The 25,090-nt window shown below is 38.1% G+C and overlaps 1 protein-coding gene and 1 pseudogene across 8 annotated transcripts in view, besides 1 other annotated feature; both read right to left on the bottom strand.

The window, feature by feature from the left end:
* Positions 1-25,090, bottom strand: part of ADGRL2 (adhesion G protein-coupled receptor L2) — a 687,801-nt gene that overhangs the window by 556,144 nt on the left and 106,567 nt on the right. For 5 of the 8 annotated variants that reach the window (XM_047416152.1, XM_047416118.1, XM_047416159.1 and 2 more), the window contains one exon: positions 23,438-23,618. The exons of the other annotated variants lie outside the window; for them this stretch is intronic. The gene's annotated coding sequence lies outside the window, so the exon portion shown is untranslated. The remainder of the gene's footprint in view (positions 1-23,437; positions 23,619-25,090) is intronic. 8 annotated transcript variants of the gene reach the window in all.
* On the bottom strand, positions 10,181-11,372 carry HNRNPA3P14 (heterogeneous nuclear ribonucleoprotein A3 pseudogene 14; annotated as a pseudogene).
* Positions 23,011-23,305: an enhancer, noted in NCBI's record as "tiled region #14351; K562 Activating non-DNase unmatched - State 13:Ctcf". NCBI's record gives its function as "activates a minimal TATA promoter and a strong SV40 promoter by Sharpr-MPRA in K562 cells {active_cell/tissue: K562}" and the evidence as "EXISTENCE:reporter gene assay evidence [ECO:0000049][PMID:27701403]".

The following is a 25,090-nucleotide window of genomic DNA, read 5'->3' as shown; positions in this document are numbered from 1 at the left end:
AACCACTGGACCCTAAAATAGAATGTTCAGAAACATGCAAATGAAAACAGCTTAAGCTCTCAGACTTTGGCAGTGTTACTTGAGTTTTACTGTGGCCTCAGAAGGGACAATCATAATATTTTTCTGGCTGTCTTGTCTTGATTTATAATTTGAATCTCCATAAATGATAATAGAGAGGGCAATTATCAAAGAAATGGGAAGGGCAATTATCATTAAATTGAAAACACATCACACATCCAACAGGATGAATGACTGAGCTAAAAACAGATTTTGTGGATCTTGCAACTGCTCCAAAAGAACTTAATGGAAGCAACTTCATCTCCCCACCTCCTCCAATTAACCAGATGACTTTGGATCTGTTTTTCTTTTTTTTCCTGGGATGATAACACAAGGCCTGTTAATCTAATCTGCCTGAAGACTGACACTACTTAGGACATGTAAATTTATGAGACTAAACCAGTTGCTGTTTGCCTAGTGTAAAAAAAAGCTTTCCTTTTTTTTGTAAAAACAGTAGAGAAAAATTAGTTCTCTTGTTTGTACATTTGTGATTCCAGGAGACTGCAGACACCCGTCTCATCTGTTCTTAACCTTCATGATGAATCTTTTTAAGTGAGGCAGCAACAGCGATTTTGTTCATGAGGTTAAATAATAGACTGGATAGTGAAATTCCCCTAAAAGACTTTTGCCTTGGTTGGATAAATTGAACAAATTATAATCCAGACTGTAGGGATTAGTTATCATTACTACAAATATGAAAGAAAAAGGTAAATGTTTATGAACACATTTTGTTGAGAATTCTTGCCATCTGGATTTACTATCGTAAGGAGTGGAATTATAGACATTCTCTGAAAGGGGTAAGGTGTGGAAAGAAGAAAGGAAAACTCCAAATCACTTTTGTCAGCACTTCTGTATAGGAAAAATAGCTATGGCATGAATGCCAATACGGTATCTGATTAAGAGATGAAGCCCTATATAATTGGATCCAATCAGGTCCTGATAGGTGACAACAAGAGTTTCTCCTTTTCACATAAGTGAGGTTCACTGAGCAGACCAGTCCCTGGCATACTGATCTTCCTAAAATGGATCATGGATCATAAAGGAACTAGAAGTGGAAGGATGGAAAGGCTCAGATAAATTTATTTTATATTGATTTCATCTGGGCCTCTGCTTTCCCCATATTGGTTCTTTATGCAGGCTATCACCTTCTATTGATTAATACATAACCAGACTAGGCTTGTTTACTTGGGAACAAAGAGCCATAAAGTGATCCCAGCACTCATGGCTATACGCTTAGTCACAGAGCCCAGACATTATGGTCATGGACAAAAAAGCGAGGAAAAAAAATAGTTCAAATGAAAGAAGGAAAGAAAACTAATATTTACTAACCACCTTTTGTCAGGTATGTTAGATAGATGTTATTTGAGTGTTGCCACCTATCTGGTATCAAACCCGTCAGTGAGTCCTATATTTGTAAGTCCCCTCTAGAACAAATTTTACCATGCTCTACCGTGATGTCGTCGGCAAGTACGTTCTCCTTCACTTTGGAGGACCGAGCCGTGTCTGCCCTGTGCTTCTTTGGTGTTTTGCTGATTGGAGAATTGAATATATGTTATACTGTCTACCTGACAGCAATATGCAACTTCAGTGCTGAATACTTTCCTTTTGAAGATGTATGATTCTTTTTTATTTTTTTGAGATGGAGTTTCGCTCTTATTGCCCAGGTTAAAGTGCAATGGCGTGATCTCGGCTCACCGCAACATCTGCCTCCCAGATTCAAGTGATTCTCCTGCCTCAGCCTCCCGAGTAGCTGGGATTACAGCATCCACCACCACGCCCGGCTAATTTTGTATTTTTAGTAGAGATGGGGTTTCTCCATGTTGGTCAGGCTGGTCTCAAACTCCCGACCTCAGGTGATCCACCTGCCTCAGACTCCCAAAGTGCTGGGATTACAGGCATGAGCCACCGCACCCTGTCTGAAGATGTATGATTTTTTATTCATCATTCTTTTTTCTAGCTTCCATCTTTCCCAGGTTCCAGAGAAATGTTTCAGTGTAAGAAATATTATTCAACAGTTTTTGCAAAGCAAGGAAACAGACAAAATTTCTGTTCAATGTATCCACTATGAATTTATATAAATATGTGTGTCTACCTACAAATTAACCATCTTGAATTAAATATATATAGTCCCGATGTTTTGAAGAAATGGATTGTTATATTTATTAGTTCATCTTGGCCTATAAGTTTATTTAAAAATACTAAGCACTCTAAAGAACAAAAAGTGGTTTCCCTTTTAAAATTTCTCAAAGTTCCAAGTGTTTTGAATTCATTGAACTCTCGACAATCAGCATCTGGTTGATTAAGTAATTTACATTTGGACATCCTCACAGAGAGATTGGAGGTGGGGGAATTCCCCTTGAATTCTGGGAAGTTGTTCTTTGGACATGATGTTTATTTCCTCTGATGTCACAGTTTCTCTTGATAAATGTAAACATTTATTTTTAACATGGTTGTTAAAACTTAGTGAATATTCAGTTCCAGTTCTTTTGTCAGTTGCTGGTGAAGCAGAAAGGTCAGTTTATGGGTCATTATACTCACAGATTGAATGTTGAGTTATTAAAAAGTAAATGTAATTTTATTTTAATATTTTTTAATGTGTTTGGAAACATAAGTGGAGTTTTTGAAAAACAGAAACTGTAAAGCTGTCTAACTTAATATAGAGTATAAGTAAAATAAAATTCATGTCAATAAAGTTTACCTATTATTAATACTTTCAGGGACTGGTACATTTTTATTAATTGTGTCCAGTACTTTTGTTGAAACCCTTTGTCAGCTGTATTTAATTCTCACAGGAGTCCCTTGCAGTGTGCCTTGTTGCCTGATTTCACAGATTTTACAACTCAGAGAAGTTAAAAAACTTTTCATGTCACACAGCAAGCAAACAGCGGAGCAGTGACTTAAGCCCAGTCTTGTCAGATTTGAAGGCCTGTGAATGACCACCTGCAGCTTCCCAATTTTGGTTGCAAGGTAGGCCTGGTAATATATTTTGTGCTTCCCCAGACAGCTGCAGTTAAAACTGCTTCATATGAGAGATGATACTCATTCTAATTTTTAATATATTTAAATAAATCATAATGTCAACCTCCCTGTTTGTAATCCTCCCTCACTCCCAATTTCTACAACCAAACATCCAAGATGTTTATTTCCTACAGTTTTGTATTCACTGGGTTCATTCACTTATTCACTAGTTCACTCATTAATTCAACACATATTTATGGTACCCTCATCAAGCACCAGACACTCTTCTAGGCCCTAGAAGAGCAGTTCCTATGGTAATGAAGTTTACATTTGGGTAGGAGAGAGAGACAATAAACACATACCGAGAGACAAATATAAAAAACAAGCAAAGTTGGATGGTGATAAATGCAGTGAAGAAACATAAAATAGAATAAGTACCCAGAAAATAATAAGTAACTTTCATTGAAAATACATTACATGTGTGACACATTGGTCTGAGTACATTACAAAGATTAATTTGCTTAATTCTCACAAAACTCTATGTGGTTAATACTGTATTTGTGGTAGATCAGGGATGGTATCAAATTATTTACTACTCCTCTAATTGAGATTGAGATGTGGAGTCTAATTCCTCTCCCTTTGAATCTGAGCTGGACTTATTGACTTGCTTGATGCATAGAGTGGGGCAGAAGAGATAGCATACTAGGTCCTGGCTTAGCCTTTAAATGAACTGGCAACATTGCCTTGTTCTTTTGGAACCCTGAGCTTCCACTAAAAAGTCAGACTAAGGCTTCCATGCTGTGGGAAAGCTCAGGCAACATGGAGAGGCCAGGTGTCAACAGAGTCCCAACACAGCTTCTAGCCTACAACCAGCATGTGAATGAATCATATTGTGGGGCCAGTCCCCTGAAGCCTTTACATGACTTCAGTTCCTGCTGCTATCTGACTGCTCCGGAATTATGAACCCTGAGTGAGGACAACCCAACAGAGTCCAGTCAATCCACGGAAAAGTGAGAGATAATAAGACATACTTCTTTCAAGCCATTAAATTTCAGGGTGCTTTATTATGCAGCAAAGAATAATTGGAACAATTATAATTTTCCTTTTACAAATGAGAAAACCAAGGGAAAGAAGGGTTAAATAATTTCCTTGCCGAAGGGTAGAATCTGAATTCAACCCAGACAGGCTGTCCTGCAAGCACCATTTTAAACTCTCCCCAAAACAGCCTAACCCTAGAGTAAGATCAGCTTTCACAGGGTGCTCCTGACTAAACTTGGCAGTTGCTGACTAGTTCACATTTTATGTTCTTCATTGAATCACAGTGGTTAAAACTCAGGGCACACTTCTCTTGGAATATAATCGCTTTCTCAAAGGGACCTTGAGGTGTCCTTGGACCTGAAGTATTATGTTGTCTATGACCTTTTGTGGATTGGAATCTTAAGAAAAATAAGGAGGACATGGAGGAGATTGACCTGCACTAATCTATAATCCTTTCATTGTGTTGTAAAATTATGAGAATTATTCAAGTAAAATAGGAAATCACATGACATTTTGATTAAATAAAAGAAAAAGAGTACAAAGTAATTCTCTTAAATTAAGAGCAAATAATTGTAACAAAATCAAATTTCTTGGCATACAAATATGTTACATCCCTTGTCTAAGGCAGATAATTTATATTGGGATGGGAAAGGAGTGACCGGATGTCTGTAGCCTGATAGCATTAAACAGTAAGTTGTTCAGCCAGATGTTCCTTCCTTAGCAAGGAAGGACACATAACTACAGGGTACCAGGCAAGCCCAAGGTACATATTTCCACAGACACTTTTTCCTCAGGGTATTTACAGTTCAGTTTAGCTCTTTCCACATTGAAACTCTGTATACACAACCATAGAACGGCCCATGATTGTACAAAGGAAAGACGTTTATAGATGCTGCACATTCCCCATGCCGCCCCAAGCCTTCCAAGGGAAGCTCCTGGTACTCTTGAAACTTTCCTGTCAGATGATTATACAATCCAGTGCCTTTTCCAAGCAGGAAATATGATGTTCCAACGACAGCTTGACCTCCTGTCTGAAAATGGGCTGGGGAGGGGAGCGGCGCCGAGGAGGGGGGCAGGAAGATGAAACAGGCATGGTCTCAGTATACTTAATTCATAGACCCAATCACAAACAAAAACAAGTTAATTTTGTTAAGAACTCATAATAACATTTCACTTATGACAAAATCCCAATCATTTATTCTCCTCTGGAGTACTTCTTATGCATCCTTGAGTTTTTAAAAGTTCAAGTGTTGCATAAAAAAATCAACATAATTACAGAAAACAGTCCTTAAACAAGAATATCCTGTTTTGTTTCCTGCATACGCACTGGGGTGGCTCATCTGAATCCTTGACAACATCCAACTCCAAGAAGAAAACATCAAGACAGCTTGCTGATCAAGGATTTTACATCCAACTCTTCAGCAGTAGGGCTGTTGGCCCTATGTGTAAGCTGACAATCGCCCTATTGTTTACTTTCCAGTCAGAAAAGCGATGCTGCCTTTCTTCACTGCGTATGGTCTCCATAATCCTAACAGTCATGTTCACTCAGCAGTAAGCCCAAATATATGTTTCCCAGAGGAATTTCAAATACATGAGATAGATTAGCATCTCTGTGGCTTGATGCAATCTGTGACAGATTCAACAGCAATAAACATTTTAAAGTGTGGTCAGTACTAAATTATTTGTTGAAGAACAATTTTGTTTCTGAGGTAGACAAAAATTAGCAATAACTTTTGGGTGGTAAATACAGGGGCTGAGGGATAATACAACACCCCCGAACCTCTCTCCCTCCCGGCATTTCATTCTGTTTAAAGAGAGGTAAAAAGCCCAATTGTGTGGTGATGAATTAGAAAACTTCATGAACATTCAAGAAATACACATGCCACTACAAATTAACCATTAGCAGGGCAAGGTATTCATCCTTTCTGTCAGATTCTGTGGGAAGTATGCCTTATTAGCATTGAAGCCCAAAGAAGTAATCTATCAGTCCACATTCACTTATCCTACAAAAAAGAACAGGCAATTTGAGTGCTGGAAAAATAAATAGCATAGTTCTTCCCATCCCCATTTCAATCCTAAAATTGAAAATCACCAAATAAAATTCTATTTCCTCTGCTTCCAGTTTGTCTCTGTGTTTACAGCGGAATGTGGTTTTGCATTTTAAATCAGTTCCATCATAACCCTGAAAGTGATCACAGGGCTGCTAATTCTCTGTCTTCAGTTTCCACCCCTCCTCCACGCTACCACTTTGAATTTGAATGGGACCAGAAGATTCTCTAGGGGCCACGTTTGTGGCCCTTCAGCGGCAGCCTCTCTACTTCTTTCAGCTTGTTTCCTGGCATGGTTCATGGGGATTTGTGGTGAGTGGCAGCTCCGGAATCACTTTTCATTCTGTCAGGTTGTGGTTAGGCTTAGTGGGGTTTCTTTGTTATACTGGCCACTAGTAGTCAATTCCCTTGAAAATATCTGGTTTTCTCCTTTTCTCTTAAAGAAAAAAATAAAAAGCAGCTCCCAACTCCCCACCCTACCTCCAAAACACAAACACAAAGCAAACACGGATATCCCTTGGAAATCTTAGGAGGAGACAGAGAACAGAGAGAGCCCCAGATGTTCTCAACATCCCAGTTTAATTCTGATGTCAGACTATAAAAGAACTTTGGAGGGCCCCATTTCCTGTACCTGTTCTGCTGACATGCTGTTTTATTAAAGAATCAGGGATAAATTTTACTACTCCTTTTTTATGTTAAAGTAAAATAAAATAAGCCAAACATATAGAATGTGAATTTGGGGAGCACAGTGCTTCTTTTTCTTTCAAGACAAACTTGGAAAATAAGTAAGTACCAAAATTAGTAAACAAATCAAATAAATACTTGGGAGTGCATTAAGATGGAGTTTTCCATGGACACAGAGGGAGGATTGGCACTTTCTGCACGTCTTAAGCCAGAGCTTAACAGAGTTTGTATTTCATGAATCAGTTTGGGAAAAAAAGGAGAGAACAGCATACTGCTGCCAACATTTTATATTGCCAAGTTAGGCTATTAAAAACAACAACAACAACAACTAACTTGAAATCTTACATCATTTCTTAAAAGAAAGGACATGTTAACATCAGTGGGGGGCTGGGGGAGAGGGGAAAGACATCATCTCAGAATACAAGACAGCCTTTTCAAAAATGAAGACCTGGCAACTTTTACACCAGCATGCCACAAAGGCCTTCAGAAATAGCAGGTTCCTGAAACACACCAAGCCCCTTTTCACCTTATTGCCTTAGCACCAGGTCAATCCCATCCTCTAACTGGAAACAGATCCCCTGGGGCATTGACAGAGCTCTCCACTCAAATCTAACCAGAAGAGGCAGGGCTTCTCTAGCCCTGTTGAAATCCCCTCTTTACAGACCCCATGTGGACAAACCTTCCCCTTCTGCACCTCCATTTCTCTCCATTCTTTAACCTTGCTTTATTTTTCATCAAGCACTTGCTACTACATTGCCATCTATCATTTCTTTGCTTTTGCCTATTTCCCCCATTACAATATAAAGCTCATGGCTGGGTGCAGTGGCTCACGCCTGTAATCCCAGCACTTTGGGAGGCCCAGGCTGGCGGATCACCTGAGGTCGGGAGTTCGAAACCAGCCTGACCAACATGGAAAAACCCCGTCTCTACTGAAAATACAAAATAAGCCAGGCGTGGCGGTGCATGCCTGTAATCCCAGCTACTCGGGAGGCTGAGACAGGAGAATCGCTTGAACCCAGGAGGCGGAGGTTGCGGTGAGCCAAGATCGCGCCATTGCCCTCCAGCCTGGGCAACTAGAGCAAAACACCATCTCAAAAACAACAACAACAACAACAAAACAAAAAACAAAAACAAAAAACAACAATATAAAGCTCATGAGGTCATGGGCTTCCCATCTTTTCTTCACCTCCTTTCCTCCATTACCCGAAACGTTGCCTGGCATATGGAAGGCTCTCACTACAGATTTGTTCCATTTATATATGTGTATCATTTCAGACTGCTTATTTTTCTTCTTTTATTGTGGACAAGAGAAAATGTCCACAGAGCCTGCACTGTTTGGTATATGGAAACCATTGTTTTAAGAAAGAGATTGAAGAGCTGCTAGCAGCATTCCTTCAGGGCAGAACCGAAGGAAGCAGGCATTTGGTTTGAGCATTCTTTACTGCAACCAATTTGAAATATCAGGAGACTCATGTTTCTTAGGACAGGCAACCAATGGCTAGTGGGCTGAATCGTGCCTGCTTGATTTAGGAATACGAAATATTCTTAAAACATAGGCAGGCTGTTCAGGAATATAGACCCTCCTCCTCCCTCGCTCAAATTAGCTAATTAGAGATTAGGCATTGCTTTTTAGCCTGTGGCTCTTTTACACTGCATGAATCGTGTATGAGAATGTTCACCTGCTCTTAGAGTACAAGTATCTTGGATATTTAAGTTAAAAAAAAAGGTAACAGTAGCCTCTAGGTAACTGCACAATGAACTGTTACCTCTCATAATTATTAACCAGGAAGTGGGAAAACTAGGAAGTCAAGTTCACAAACAAATCTTACTACTAACAAGAGTGGGTCATTGTAAAAAAAAAAAAAGCTGCTTTTGAAATGCCTCATGGGTAGTTCACAAATATAGATAGTAGGTTTCAAAAGTGAGAATTTCAAATTTCTTATGCTATATGGGAATGTGAATAGGTGGTTCAGACTTCTTCCTGAAAAAGCACTACTTCTAGGCATCGGGGCTCAGAACATCGTGGTGGCTCAGAAAACAACACCTTAAAATATGGTATTTTGATATGCTGAGTACCTTGAAATAAAGAAGCAGCCTCAGAAACAAGGTCTCTCTGACCTTCTCCCACTGTCCCTCTCTCTCCCCTTTCCCTATCCTGAAGCACAGAGAGGTGCTTTATGTGAAGTTCTCTCATTTGACCAAGCGAAGTTTCTCCAGAAGAAATGTAGTTGTCTCGGGCCACCTCCTTATAATCTCATCAAACAGAGCAGAAAAACTTGCAGAAAAGACTAGAGTTGACACCACTCTCCCAGAGTCCAGACAAACTTTGCCTCAGGCCATCATCTGTTCCTCAGGTCCATTCACCTCCCCTAAAAATCCTTTACTCTTCCTCTAAAATTGCCTGCATCCCCCACTTCCCTCTCTCTTATGAATGGGGGCCTTTAAGCTTCAACCATCTGACCCTTGTTTGAGTTTCATACTTGCTATGACTCCCATGCGTTTGCATGTTAATAAATGTGTACACCTCTTCTCCTGTTAATCTGTCAGTTTGTCTTATAGGCTCAAATTCTTGAACCTTCAGGGAGTGGAAGGAAAGTTCCTTTTGCACCTGCAACATGATATCCTAAAATATAGCCTCTTGGCATACTGAGGTTTTCTTTTTTTTTTTAATTTTGAGATATTTTTTTTAATTTGAAGGTAATCTTAATGCTATTAAATTCACAAATGCTAATTTAAATACCCAATCCTATTTATCTAAAACACACATTGCAAACACACAAATATCTATTCTGTCCACACGTCAGCACCCATTCATGTCATGGTTTGGAAATGGGGAGAATAGATTCCCCTTACATTGCAAGTCAGCAAATGTTTCTTTACAGTTAACTTTAGCAAAATTCATACAAAATAGTAATTAACAATGATCTTGTTAACTCACAAGGAAACACCTTCAAAACTGCATTTTGTTAGTTTCTGTACTAAAATGTAGAAAAACTGAACTACACAAATATTGAAAAGTTAAAAATTCCTTAATTTTTTATTCCTGTTACCACCACCGCAATTTACAGGGCAATATACCTGATGAAATGAAAAGAAAAAGAAGAAGAAAAAGCTACCACAGATAAAAGACCTCAGGAGTATACATGTAATTGACACTACATCGCATTAATCAATAGCTGAACTTTTTGCAAACTATGGCTATGGCAGTCCTGAACAAGAAGGTTTCCTGTTTAAGCTGCAGTAACTTTTCTGACTATGGATCATTGTTCCCTCTGGCAGATTTTTAAAGTTCCTTTAATGCATTTGGGATGACTGTCTCAAAGTAACCTCCAGCTTTCCTAACAATTTCTCTCTCTCTCCTGCTAAGAGCTGCAGCCCTTTTCTGCTGTTTTCAAAACCTTCTGCTCCTATATCCACCATGTCCATCACCAGATCCATAACCACCATCATAGGGATGAGCTTCTTCCACCAAAACTGCCCCCTTACATGGGTTCGTAATTTGATTGCTGTTGTCCACTATAATTTCCAAAATCATTATAGTTCCCACCACCACCACAGTTACCACCACCAAATTTCCTCCATTGCAACCATCATATCCTCCACCACCACCACCATATCTACCACCTTGGTTTCCATATCCTGGTCCGCCACCACCATAGCCCCCTCTACTACTATAACCAGGACGACTGTCATAGTTGCCACCATCGCCTCTAAGTCCATTATATCCACCATCACCTCCTTCATAACTATTTCCGCTGCCACCACCTCCACCAGCATAGCCTCCTCTTCCACCAAAGTTGCCACCATGGCCAAAATTACCTCCACCACCTCGAAAGTTTCCTCCGCAACCCATAAAATTGCCGGATCCACCTCCACAATCTCTCTGTGATCCAGCAGACTGCATCTCTTGTTTAGAAAGGGCCTTTTCACTTCACAATTATGCCCATTAATAGTGTGGTATTTCTGAATAACAATGTTATCAACTGTGGTATTTCTGAATAACAATGTTATCAACTGTATCGTGATCATCAAAAGTTGCAAAAGCAAATCCTTCCTTTTTTTCACTCTGTCTGTCTTCCATAACTTCCATGGTTTCAGTCTTGCCATACTTTTCAAAGTAGTCTCAAATTATATTCTTCTGTATCTTCTTTAATACCACCAAGGAAATTTTTCTTCACTGGTAGATGGGCATCAGGCTTTATCGACTCCTCTCTAGAAAGAGTTATCTTTGGTTCCAATAGACACCCACCAACCTGTGTGGTTGAGCACATGTTGTTGCATCCACCTCTTCAACACAAGAGTAAGTCACAAAACCAAACCCCCTGGAACGTTTTCTTTGGGGGTGTCTCATTACCATACAATCTGTGAGTGTGCCCATTTTTCCAAATGTTCTCTTAAACTATCATCTGTCGTTTCAAAGCTCAGAACACCAATAAACAGTTTTCCCAACTACTCTGGTTCCTTTGGATCATGATCCTCTGCTCCCGGCGGTGACGGTCACAGCTGGAATTGGGCTTGGGGCCACTGGGCATCAGTTTTACCTCCATTTTGAGACCGGACTCACCTCTTCCGACTCGAGTTCACTATCTACTGAGTATTTTAACCTGAAGGAAATTGAGAAAACCATAGAAGCAAGAAGGACCTCTCTAACTTTCTCTGCCCTTTCTCCCCTGAAACATGGTTATAGGGAAGTTGTCTGACCCACCTCCCCTGTAAATAGGCCACAAGACCCTCATATGACAGGTGTCTTGCCCTATACCTGGAGGCCAAGAAGAATCTAAGCAAACCCCCTTTGCTAAGTTCTGCCCAGTTTATCATTAGGTCAAACCACCCTATTGTCCAACCATAATTCTACATGACTGCCTATTCTTCATCAAACTTGTCCATAAAAATACGCTGTTTTCCTTGGGTCTTTGAGTCTTCATTTCTGAAGGCTTTCTACCACATGAAACTTTGGTCAAATAAATTTGTTGGCTGGGTGTGGTGGTGCATGCCTGTAGTCCCAGCTACTTGGGAGGCTGAGGTGGGAGAACAACCTGAGCCCAGGAGTTCAAGGCTGTAGTGAGCTATGATTGCATCTGTGCAGTCCAGCCTGGGCAACAGGGCAAGTTTCTGCCTTAAATAAATAAATAAATAAATAAATTTGTATTTTCTTTTGTTAAGCTGTCTTTTGTTATATGGTTGTCAGCCATGTATTACTTTTTCTCCCCTATAGTTTCTGGTACTCACCATGGGGTGACTCAGACCCCCCTACCTGCTCTAGAGCCCACAGGTGAGATCTTGAAGCAATTGACAAAAGCCGGCAAAAAAGTAAGGATTTATATTTTTTAACCAAGGTCAGTTCTCCCAGATCTCTGCCTGTAGTGCCTGGTGGAGAATGGATGGTAAATTTTTTTCCTTGTCCCTTGCTTTCTGAATTCAGACTAGTAGGAGAAAAACATTTGTGTCTTTTGTTATAGGAGTGTCAGCCATGAAACTTGCCATGAGCCAGGCATAGGCATGTGGGGTTCATTTTGGTACATATTTTTTCCCCTGAAAAGTAGAGTATAAGCCCAAGTGTACCTAATGCACGTTTAACACAGATTTTTTTTTTAATTGGTTCTAATATCTGCTCTTGCTGCCACACTTCAGAGTAGTAGTAACAGTTAGCTACAAGACGGTACACAAATAAGTGAGAACTGGTAGTAAATGAAGAAAATGAGAGTTTAGAGTATATAAGTGCCTGTGTGTGTACACATGCATGGGTACGTGATTGTGTTGTGTGTATATATGTGATAGGGTCAACATATACTGACTATAATAATAATAATGATTAAAATAAATGAAAAGGATGAAAGTATAGATCTTTTGAAATTTCTTTCTTTTATTCTCTCTATGTCTCTCTCTCATTCTTTTATGCTCCAGAATGGAATGGAGCTAGGGGATTTAGAAAGCCTCTGCTGATGAATCCATCATATTCTGACAGCTGAATTCCCAGAAACAGAGTATTAGACTTTCACACAAGGTGACATTTTGACTGGAATCTTTTAAGGTGAAGCTTATAAAGTACTGAGAAGAGGACTGCTCCATAGCGGGTCTTCAAATAATAGTAGCTACTAGTGTTATTAATTGCTCCCACGAAGAAACCAAGGCTTTCAATGTCTGACAAGCCAATTCCACCATCTCAATACCCTTGCAACTGCTATGTCAGAAAATGTTTTGAAAGAGGTAAAGTTGGAAGGTAACTGGGCAGACTTTTACACTGGAGGGTAAGAATAAAAACATTAAGTGGTTTAAAAAAAGTCAGGAGAGTGTGACTTTGGACCATCACCCACCTGATGAAGTGGTCTTATCTTAGGATTGTCTATCATGAAGATTAAAAATAAAGCCAAGGCTTAACCTCATTGATATTTGAAATAAAAATGTTCATTTTCTTTTAAAAACTGCCCACAATGATAGAGGCAGTTATTTTTGGTAAAAGTGGATTGTGGACAGAGTAGCTGGCAAAATGCTCTTAAGTATTCACGCAAGACAAAAACCTTCCTGGCACTAAGAAGTCTCAATTGGCTTTTCAGCTGCACTGTGGTTTAGTGTGTGCTTTAAATCAGCTCTAAGACTACACCACATACCATTGTGTCTGTTAGAAAATCATTATGGTGCAATTAAAAGCAATGTTGTTTTACAGACGAACATGGAATTTTCCTCTGTGTCTGACGGCTGTGCACTTCCTTCGTGCCTCCTGTGATTATCTGCACTGGTGATGGTCAACAGATACAGCTGTCGGGAAAACACTCAACAGATGGCAGTTGCAGAGTGATGCATCATCCTTTCTGGGATGCTCTCTGACATTGGAGCTCAGGATTTCCATAAACGTTGGTGTGTCACTGACTCCTTTCAAGCAACTTGGGCCTGGAATGTTCAGTGACAAAATTAATCTTACTCCAGAAATGAAGAGAAATTGAAGTGTCCTTATGAAATGAAGTGTGCGATATAATGCTAAAATATATTGTCATTTGTAGCTTCTTAACTATTATAGATAAGAACAACCAACTATATAGAAAGCCTGATACATTGGTAGATTGAACACTTTTTCTTCAGGATGAGAGTGAGCAAGATTGGTCAGTTCTTTCATTTTTTTGTAAATCTCTTTAAAGCTTGGCTTTATATTTTTTAAAAAGAGCAATTTAACCTTTGCTTCAGTAATGACATGGGTTGTTGAATGATGTTGTCTGTGATGAAATTCATCTTAGTGGTGCAAGGATTAATTACGTGGTTCCTTTTTACATCTCAGTTAACATTTTAACATGAAACACTGAAGCTTCTATCTTCATTATTTATACAGTACATATATGTGTATAACATTATTAGGGAAATAAGAAAATAAGAGTAAACAGATTGACAACGATGTCGAAAAATGGGCTGAACAATATTGTAAAATAATTATGCTAGATTATTATTCAGTATTCAGAATCTGAGTTATAGAGTCCCCATGACTGACTTGTTTTTCTTCCTCTCAGTTACACAGATCCTTTCAAGTTTTAGGGCCTCACTTAACCAGTGAACATTCTGGGCCGTCGCGATGTGTGTATTTTAATACAATGACAAGACAGCATTGAATAGTAGGTATAGGTCCTGCATCTGTGTTCTAGAAAGTGTCCTGGGCATGCCTGCCTGCCAGCTCCATTCACCCTCTAATGCCCCTAAATGATATTTGGCTATCTTTAGTTTGACCTGAATATGAGTACAGTCCTATATAATCCTAAAAGCAGGTAACATGGGGATAACCATATCCCATAGGGTTAAGTTTAATTTTGTCAAAATTGTTATCTTTCCTTTCTCGTGTTAGCAAAACTGCGTCCTGCAGTTCATGAAGATTTATATTTCTTCTAAAACATGACACACTGACATTTTCTGTTTGTCATGTCCCCAAAGAGGTAACCACATGCTATATATGTTTTCTGTTAATATATTTGCAAGTTGGTCTCAATGGTTGGTCTCTGAAAGATTTCCAGTGGATAAAACACATGGAATGAGTAGCTGCAAAAGGAGCCTTTTTAGTAAATGCATAAAGGGGCAGGGAACAGTGTGGAGGCTGTAGGAAACACGAAACACAACACAGCATAGATTTGAAATACATTGTGTATGTTTTGGGACAAAAGCAAACATTTTGCTTATTCTAAAAGCTTTAATATATTCCAGGCATTATGATAAGTACTTTGTATGTATTATTTGATTTGATTTGATTCTCACACATATGTAAGACAGGTATTATTATTTTCAGTATATTGATGAGAAAATGGTGGTACAGCTGATAATTTGCCCAAAGTCAAACAATAAGATGGTCTTCCAGACTCTTATAATTTCTTAAAAGAGTATAATTATTTCTTCCCTAAACAATAGTATGACTTTGTGCATATAGTTTTCTGTAATGTTATACTGTATATAGGCACTAATTAATAAAGCAATGAAAAAATACATTTGGCTGGGCGTGGTGGCCCACGCCTGTGATCCCAGCACTTTGGGAGGCCGAGGCGGGTGGATCACTTGAGGTCAGGAGTTCGAGACCAGCCTGCCCAACATGGTGAAACCCCGTCTCCACTGAAAATACAAAAATTGGCCAGGCATGGTGGCATGTGCCTGTAATCCCAGCTCCTTGGGAGGCTAAGGCAGGAGAATCGCTTGAATTCAGGAGGTGGAGATTGCAGTGAGCTGAGATCGTACCATTGCACTCCAGCCTAGGCAACAGAACGAGACTCCGTCTCAAAAAAAAAATTGTTTGTATGATAAAATGCATCTTTATACCTCTTAAAATAATATAATTTATGTTAAAAAAAAAAGAAGTTTGAGAGATGTAAATATGTGGATATTTTTTGGAAGGATTCAGGTATGTTTCTAATAAGTAGGATGTTAGTAAACCAGTTTTTCCTGAAATTTTCATTTGTTTGATGATTAATGTAAAACAATTTTATGATTTCATTTAATATAAATTAAAAGAAAATTCAAGTGTTGAATAAAATAAGTCTGTAAGTAATACTATTAAGAAAATTTTATATATCCTCTTTCAATGGTATATAGAGGTAGTATGTTCCCAGCTGAGATGAGTGTGGGAATGACATGACAGGATACATTTTCAAAATAAGCATGCCATAAAAATGATTGGTAGAACATAATCTATGCAATTAAACCCTGTTTTCTTCCCAAATTTTGAATGCAGTCTGTTGTATGCCAAAAAGAGGCAACTAATTGGAAACCTAAAAGTGAATTCTAGATTTCCATTTGCTTTTTTATCACAAGGCTATATATTCTGGGGAGGCAAAAAAAAAAAGAATATTTAGTTGAGATGTTGTGTGGTTACCTTCAGTATCTTGCCATGATAGTGGCATCTAATATGACACTGTCATGATAGCTCAAATACTCACGTGGGCAAGACAGATCCACAGAGGAGCAAAGCACCTTGAAAGCACATGCAGTATAAAGGTAAAGAAAGACCATTGTCTCATGGTAACTGCTTGCAGTTATGAGTATTCTACTATAAATCTAAGCCATGTAGGGAGAGGGATTTTATAGCTATCATTGCCACTTGAGATTATTCTGCTGCCTAATGCAAGTCGATGAAAGGGTCTAATTTTTGTAGCAGTCTTGAAACACTACCTTAGGCATCCATTATTGTACAATTTTAGTTTTGAATCAGTATGAGCTTTATCTCTAGTTATGATGTTCACATCCTCCATAAGTAAGATGAGGATCAATAGTAAAACAAACCCAGCAAATTGTAGGCTTTGCAATAAACCTAAGGTATTAGGTGGACATAATTTAAACAGTTGTTTTTCTTCTTCTTCTAAATAAACACGTAATAGGAGAAAAAAATGAGGCTCTAAAGGGATTGTGCATTCCTAAATATTTTATGGCTCTGTTAAATGCAATGTTGAGCTTTAGTTCCACTGTGGAATATTTGCTGATGATCATTTACTTGCCAACTGAAAACCCAAAAGATGCTATTTGAGGTTTTTTGTGTGGTTTCAGTCTTGGCCCTTCTGTCAGGGTTTCACTGCATGATGGTTAAGAGCAACTCTTTGCATGTGAGAAGACAGATGCTGGTGATTTAAGCAGGGAAATACACCACAGTGCTTTTACTCAGCTGATATTTAATGATTTACCATTTAATGTAGTTCATCTTTCATAACCCTGAGTTCAAACAGAAGCAGCTGCTATTAGGGAGGGAATAATATTGAACTTCCCACCGACGACCTAGGAGAGCTTCTTTTGTAGCTTCAGCTACTGGACCCATCTGGCCTTTAGACCCTAAGCACGACAACTGAAGGAGAGAAACAGTTTACTTCCCATCAATAGAGTACTGGGCAGAATGTATAATTATGCCAGATAAAGATTTTCAAAACAAAACTCCTTGTGTTAACATCACTCTGCAACTTTGAAGGACAAAACAATGCTCTTTACTCATTATCAAAAGAATCCTGAGAAAACTCAGAAAACGTATGAAAAATCATGCTGAGCTGAAATCAATTCAAAGGGAAGAAGTGTTCCTGGTTTCAAACATGAAAGATAAACTTATTTTCTTATAATTTCTATTTGCTTTCATTATTGTGGGAGCTTTCTGGTAAGGTATTTGTAAAGGCTTTTTTGCTCTAGTTTTAGAAGATATTTAGATAGATGGATGAATAGATGAACTACTTAAAACAAAAACAAGCCTTTCAGAAAACTAAAGTGTAAAAGACAGACATCAAATGAGATTGAAGTCCTTTGGAGGGAGGATAGTATCCAATATGCTGATGAGAATTGTGATATTAATGTTATCAAATAGAATGCTTTAAAGGCAATTTTGCTTATCAAAATCCTTTCCTAGTTCAATAATCTATTTTCACTTTGGCATTACTGATGAGGGATTGAAAAGTAGATTACAGGTTAGGTTGCCTCTATTTTTTTCTGATTTTCCTTTTTTTGATTAAATTTCTAACATCTGTAAATTAGGATTTGCAAGGAAAAGAAAGATTATCAACTTTCATTACAATTACAAGCTTGCTGGACAACAACTGTTGCCTAGTTATAATTATATCTAATCCTTTGACTAATTACAGTAGGCCAAAAATGTTTTTCTTTTCTAATAATATATTCCTAAAAGACAGAGAAGGCAGTTAGACCAGACGTTTTCACTGGGAGAAACATACTTAGAGGTGTTCAGTCTGATGGGATTAGATGGACTAAAACCACTATGTGGGTCTCCTATCCTGCACTACAGCATTTGTGATTCTCAAAGCCAGGGTCAGACTTCTCCTCAAGGAATTTTCTGATTTAAAGATCCATTTTCTGAAGCATTGTCCATAGTACAAAAGCATGCGTATTTACCTCTATGCATCATTTGAAAATACTGTCCTAGAGATATTTATGCATTTTCCAAAGTTTGATGATGCTTGGTATTTTGGATTTGTCATTTGGCAAATAAGTAGTTATTTGCATAATATTTATAATTAGGCAACTATGACATTTAAAAAGATAAAGAATGGCCAGGTGCAATGGCTCATGCCTGTAATGCCAGTACTTTGGGAAGCCAAGGCAGGCAGATTACTTGAGGTCAGGAGTTCGAGACCAGCCTGGGCAACATGGTGAAACCCTGTTTCCACTAAAAGAAAACACAAAAAATAGCCAGGTGTGGTGGTGGACACCTGTAATCCCAGCTACTAGGGAGGCTGAGGCAGGAGAATTGCTTGAACCCAGAAGGCGGTGGTGGTAGTGAGCTGAAATCAGGCCACTGCACTCCAGACTGGGTGACAGAGCAAGACTCCGTCTCTAAATAAATAAATAATAATAAAAAAAGATAAAGAAGACTTTCTGTATAAGGTTGCTGAATAAAGAAACAGTCCAGAAGTACAAATATGCTCCACTTTACACTTTATTTTTGCCAGTTATTGATAGAAAGTTCCTTCACCTACTTTTGAGCTTTAGTTCTGCTGCTTGGTCTGCAACCAGTCTAGTGCATTGCATTCCTGGATTCTTAGCCTCCTCATCATTTGTGGAAAAACCCTTTCAACTTTGTAGCATCTCTCTGAACTCCAGTGAGGAAATGGATACCTCAGTATAGAGAATTGTGTCAAAATAATCATGATTTCATTTTAAAAGGAATGATCAAAGTATAGATTCTATTTTAACATGGATTTGGTTAGTTAAATCGCTACATATTGGAAATCAGATATTAATGTATCAACCTCAGCAAGTTAGAAAGTTTGATTTGGAATCTTATTTGTTTGTTTTTGTTTTTGAGATGGAGTCTCACTCTGTCGTCCAGGCTGGAGTGCAGAGGCCCGATTTCAGCTCACTGCAAGTACTGCCTCCTGGGTTCATGCCATTCTCCTGCCTCAGCCTCCCGAGTAGCTGGGACTGCAGGCGCCTGCCACCACGCCTGGGTATTTTTTTTTTGTATTTTTAGTAGAGACGGGGTTTCACCGTGTTAGCCAGGATGGTTTTGATTTCCTGACCTCGTGATCTGCCTGCCTCGGCCTCCCAAAGTGCTGGGATTACAGGCGTGAGCCACCACACTCGGCCTGGAATCTTATTTAAATTCATTTTTTAGGTCTGAATACAGATAGGTGAGATTTCTATTTTCCTGTTTGTTCAATTTCAAAATTTATAGGAGTTCTAATTGGAAACATGGCAGAAATGCCACCACAGAAAAGTGGAGGGTTTTTGCCACAAAATTTTATTATAATGATTTCCAGGCTCAAGGGCATATTATCATGTGGAAGTGTGTATATTTTAAAATAGTGTTGCGATTTTTTTAGCCTTTTAAAACTTTAAAAATAAACATCTATTCCTTTTTGTTTGTTTGTTTTGAGTGTGCAGATATTCTGGTTCATTCCATTTTGATGAGACCTAGCATACATTGGTAGTTACCATTGGACACTATGTATTCAAATTAGCTAGAATAGATTTCAGCCTTTAGAGAGCTGGGTTATTCAGGTGAATGTGGTTAGAGCACTCAATGAAACTGAACATTTCACAATTGCCTGTCATTATGAGTTATTTTCAAGTGAGCCCCTTAAAATACATTTTTTTAAAAAAAGAAGAAATATAGTAAAAGTGGGTGTGATATTGTCATGCATGGGTGCCACATTTGACTGGAGGTGGTGGTTGGGGTTAATTTAATATCAGCTGAAATCTCCTAATGCAGCTTGGGCACTACTGACATATTTTTTAAAAATCACCAGATCACACTATGATAATATTCAAATTAGAAAAGATTAGAAATATATCAAATCTTGTTAAAGAAATGACCTACCAACCTTAGAAGCAAGAAAACCAAGTTTCGAACTGAAATTATGAAATAACAAGCCAATGTTTCTGTGAAAGAAAGGTGGACCCTAATACAACAAGTAGAGCCTAGTAATATATTTTCTCTGTACCCTGACCTTAAATAATGTCACTGTGTTCACCACCTATGACATGGTGCCATATTGCTGAAAGGACTTGTACAGAGAAATAATCCATTCCAAAAAGGTAGAAGTAAAGTATTACTAATATAAGAAGGAAAACATCACTTATCTTACTATTCTCTAAAATCATGAAAAACTCATTGTGATCTAATAAAATATTTTGAAGGAAAAATTATAAAATAAAGTATTAAAGAAAAAGCACCTTGCAGGAACTTTTGAATAATATTTTGTAAAGTTAATGAACCAAAATTATAAATTATCATTATAATGATTTACCAATTAGGAGTCACATAATAGCAATTAAAGTATTTTTCTTATGATTAAAATGTGAGTTTTTAAAGAAATCATGTTTAGCATTCTTCATTTATTTCTACTCCATTTAAAGGGATAAAGAATTGTATAGTAGTCTGCATGGGTCGCAACAGATTTTGTTGTAATTATAAAATGTAATTCGGGAAAATTTAAATTGTATTTTATAGAAAAATAATAAAGTAAAGGAAGATGCTTTTTGTACATAGAATATAGCATGGCATGAAAATAAAATTTTCTTTAAATTTTAAGGCAGTAATTCTTAAGCACGTTCTGAGAACTACGTGCCTGAGAATTACCTGGGAAACTTGTTAGAAATGCTGTAAATTCTTGGGATCTATGCCAGGTCTACTGAGCCCAATTCTAAGATAATTAATTTCAGAACCTGTTTTACTACATACATAATCAAAGATGCTTCTTAAGAATGGACAACTTTCAGTACCACTCTTCTAAAGGAACTATTTCACCTATATGACTACTTGGCACCACTGACCAAATTAAAGTAAACCCGTAGTATTAGGGAACTCTGAATTTGTGGAATGAAGAGAAGTTGAGTATTTTCTGGTGAATTTCTACATTTAGTAGGTTATCTTATACATGATAGACATTCAACCAATATATATGTTAGATGAATGAATAAATGGAATTTTATCAATTATATGAAGACAAATACCATTTGGATGCAAAATGTGAACGTTAAAATAGGAAATCACAGCTAAAGATATTCAAAGGAAACTGATTATTTAATCTACTACATGTATTCAATAATATTTGGAATATGAGAAGATAAACAGATAATTTAAAGTCAAGTTACAGAGGAGGTAGCACGCAGGGAACAAGCTGAAGTATAACCATAAAAACTCTTTAGCAAGTCTCTGTTAATGTAAGAGGTAGAGATGAATGTGCTGGCCATTAAATTTTGTGTTTTTTCTTTTCTTTTCTTTTCTTTTTTTTTTTGCAAGAAGGTTGTTCAGGGTATATACAGTACAGTTTCTATATTTAAAAAAAGAAATATGGGGGATAAATATATTGCACTTTAAAGATCAAGAATGTAACTGTTTTCACCCTTACAAATTTGCTGAAAGTAACATTACTTCTGTTTTAGCAATAAGGAAAAGGAGACCGGCCAGGCACAGTGGCTCACGCCTGTAATCCCAGCACTTTGGGAGGCCGAGGTGGGCGGATCGTGAGGTCACAAGATCGAGACCATCCTGGCTAACATGGTGAAACCCTGTTACTAAAGGTCTCTACTAAAAATACAAAAAATTAGCCTGGCATGGTGGCGGGCGCCTGTAGTCCCAGCTACTCGGGAGGCTGAGGCAGGAGAATGGCATGAACCCGGGAGGCCGAGCTTGCAGTGAGCTGAGATCGCACCACTGTACTCCAGCCTGGGCGACAGAGCAAGACTCCGTCTCAAAAAAAAAAAAAAAGGAAAAGGAGATACTGTTCTTCAAATGTTTATTCATGTATTCATCCATTCAGCAGGTGTTTATTGATTTCCTAGTATGTGCAGGAATGCTGCCTCTATTAGTATTTCAGGACTAGCCCAGAAGGAAACATTCTCCTTTTTATCGCAGATGGTCACCCACTGAAGTCAGATGCTCTGATTTGGGTCATACTCGCAGGGAGTATTTGTAAGCCAAAGACATTAGCATTTACAGCTAATTCTTACTTTGTTGAACCGAGCTGTCCAAACTTAAAAGCATGTACTCAACTCTTTACCAACCATCATTATGAACTGCAGTGGTATCTCCCTTTCCTCTTATCGTATCTTTTTTTAGGGACCCCTCTCTTCCCCACTATTATTAAACTGGGTGTGTCTACATCCTGCTTCTTTTGTAATAATCTTTTGAACTTCTTTAATAAATTAATGGACTAGTCTGTAACTACTGAGGCCACTATTGAGTAATTTTAACAAAGACACACACACACTGGTGTTTCTTAATTAAGAATGTGGTGAGTAGATAAGGGTATTTGGCAGTAGTTGACATCAGCAAGTCATTCAAAATTCTTCCGTGATACTACTAATTTGTTTATAATAGCCTTTTAATTGCAACATATAAACAAAGACAAATGTGGGTTGGATTCTATGTAAAAAGTGTCAATCTTGTCTTTTCTGCTTAAAAGAGTTATAATTTCCACTTCTGGTGCAGTTGAAATAAGGAATAAAAGCTATATCCCTTGTGTTTGGTTGACAAGCTTTTAATGTTCAGGTTCCTTTTCTGAAAGGTGGCCTTTCTTTACACAACGTCTGTTGTCAGTTGGTAGCATTGTGTAGTCTAGGAGAAATCACAGAGATGCAGGTGTCTTATGAATAACCAGATGGGAAACGGAAGATGATCAAACTTCTTCCTAGACCCTATGAGTCAAACAGGAATGACAAAAGATTTTCCTTTGCAACTGGGAGGAGAGTGAAATCGAATTATAAAAAGTCTTGTATACAAATGACAATAATGCCTAACATAAGCCTCCTCCTTAAAGACAGGAAATCTGTTTTCTAAAGCTTTTCCCATCACCAAAATACAGCCAGAGTCTGCTATGAGACTCAGCAGCTGTTAAACAGTGCCAGAAACACTGATGAACGTCCAAGACATTTCCTTCAAGCAAAGTAATATCCTCCAAAGAGCACGTTCGGAGATCGTTCACATGGACTCAGAGGGGAGAGCGCCACCTATCGTATCACGGCGGCAGTGTCCAGGGCACCTGGCCATCCTTCCAGCCTCCCTTGCACCACCCACCAGCACATCCTGTTCTGCCCCAGAGAGCTGCTGATAGTAATGTTCTGAGATGGTCTGAAGTTCACCTAAGTGTGCTCATATCACGCTCTATAATGTGAGGAAAACACACGAATTTAAATCAGTTTTTAAAACAACCAGGCCTCTCTTCTCATTTACTAGAATGGAAAAAATTCACTTTTATTACCTCGAAGATGCCAAACAGTGCCATTTTATTACTGTGGGAAGCTGGAAGTCATTTCCGAACCCTTTTGGCAAGGGTGCTATGTAGAGCATCCAGTTCAGTCCTTTAAGTGTCTTCTGAGAACCACCACACAGACTGTGATTTACTGTCTTCAGGAGTTAAAGGGACCCTTTCTACCCTGAAACTGAAGAAAGAAAGGTGAAGTGTGTTTACCAAGCATCCCAATGAGACTTGCAAGAATATGATACAGCACAGAGTGGGGAGCCAGAGGTAAAGAATGCTTTGGTAACCCACGTTTTTCAGCATCTACTTTTGCATTGCTTTAAATGATTATGTTGGCAGCCTTTAGCAGTTGTGATGATTTTTGTATTTGATCAATTGGTCTTTAGGCGACTTTCACAGATATCTACACAGAGTGGCAATAGGACTCCTTTTCCCCTTCCTCTTTGATGTTTGCATCTTAAATAGATTTTTGGTACACTTCCACAGTAAATGCAGTGTCAGAGGGTAAATATATATGTGTATGTGTATGTGTGTATATACAGAGATAGATAACATACCACTGTGAAAAACAATTACATAGTCTATCACATAAAAAATGAGAAGCTGTCTGATAGTGTAAAAGGAAATCTAATAAACTCTTTTTCTTGACAAAAATCAGTGAACTACTGACCTCAAGTAGAAAGACCAATCTTTATTTGCCTTTATATTTTTAAACCCTGATAAGTAGTCATCCAAAACAACTCTCGAACGAGGACATGACATTTTTTTCTTGTAAACAACCTCACATCTTTCATGGAGCAATGTCTCTAGCAATTACATTCTTAATAGAATATTGTATTTATAAGCTATATCATAAGGGCATCCGTAATGGTAGCCTACAGTTTCCATGTCTTTTTTTTTTAAGTGAAATTAATGTTTTCTTACGATACTTTGGTTATTAATGACAAAAACATTTTTTTTCCTGCTCTGCCTGGTGAGTAAATACAACACAATACTTGGAGTGGATGAATTTATTACAATATTGGAAATATTATTTGGTCTGTTTCTTTTTGGGGCCAGGATGATATATCTGTTCTGAAGTAGAGGATTCACACTTGACGGTAGGCTTAGGAATTTATGCTGCTTTCATTGCTAAATCTAGCAGGGGTTCTAGAAGCCAAACCTTCAAGTAGCGCCTGATAGGCAAACGGCTGAGGTGGGTGGAGGGCTACATCCAGGGAGTCAGGAATGCAGTGCATTCCTGGTAATTCGAAGGTAATTAGAGGAATAAAAGTCCCCTTTACTTAAGAGGAGTGAAATCAAGCCAAAAACTTTGATATATGCATAACAAAAAAGTAGAGAAAACATCCAAGAACAAATTTATCACCAGCTGACTGAGTCATCATTAATGGCCATTAAAATAAAACAATAGAAAAAAGAATAGTAATTAAAGATAAGGTAGAAAAATGACTGAATTTTTTTTCAAAGTTCCTCTTTTTAGAAATACACCCAGGAAGCTCTGTCTATTTAAAACTGGCACACACATTGGACTGACTCATATGTTTCCTATGTGTATGTCACTTATTCTTTTATATTTCCATCCATCCATGTATTCATCCATCAATAAATCTATACATCCTTCACCCAATTATCCATCTATTGCAACCAAGTATT

This window comes from Homo sapiens, chromosome 1 (genome assembly GCF_000001405.40).
Source record: "Homo sapiens chromosome 1, GRCh38.p14 Primary Assembly".
Lineage (NCBI taxonomy): Eukaryota > Metazoa > Chordata > Mammalia > Primates > Hominidae > Homo > Homo sapiens.
The sequence above is the reverse complement of the archived record's forward strand: the minus strand, read 5'-3'. Positions and strand labels throughout refer to the sequence as shown.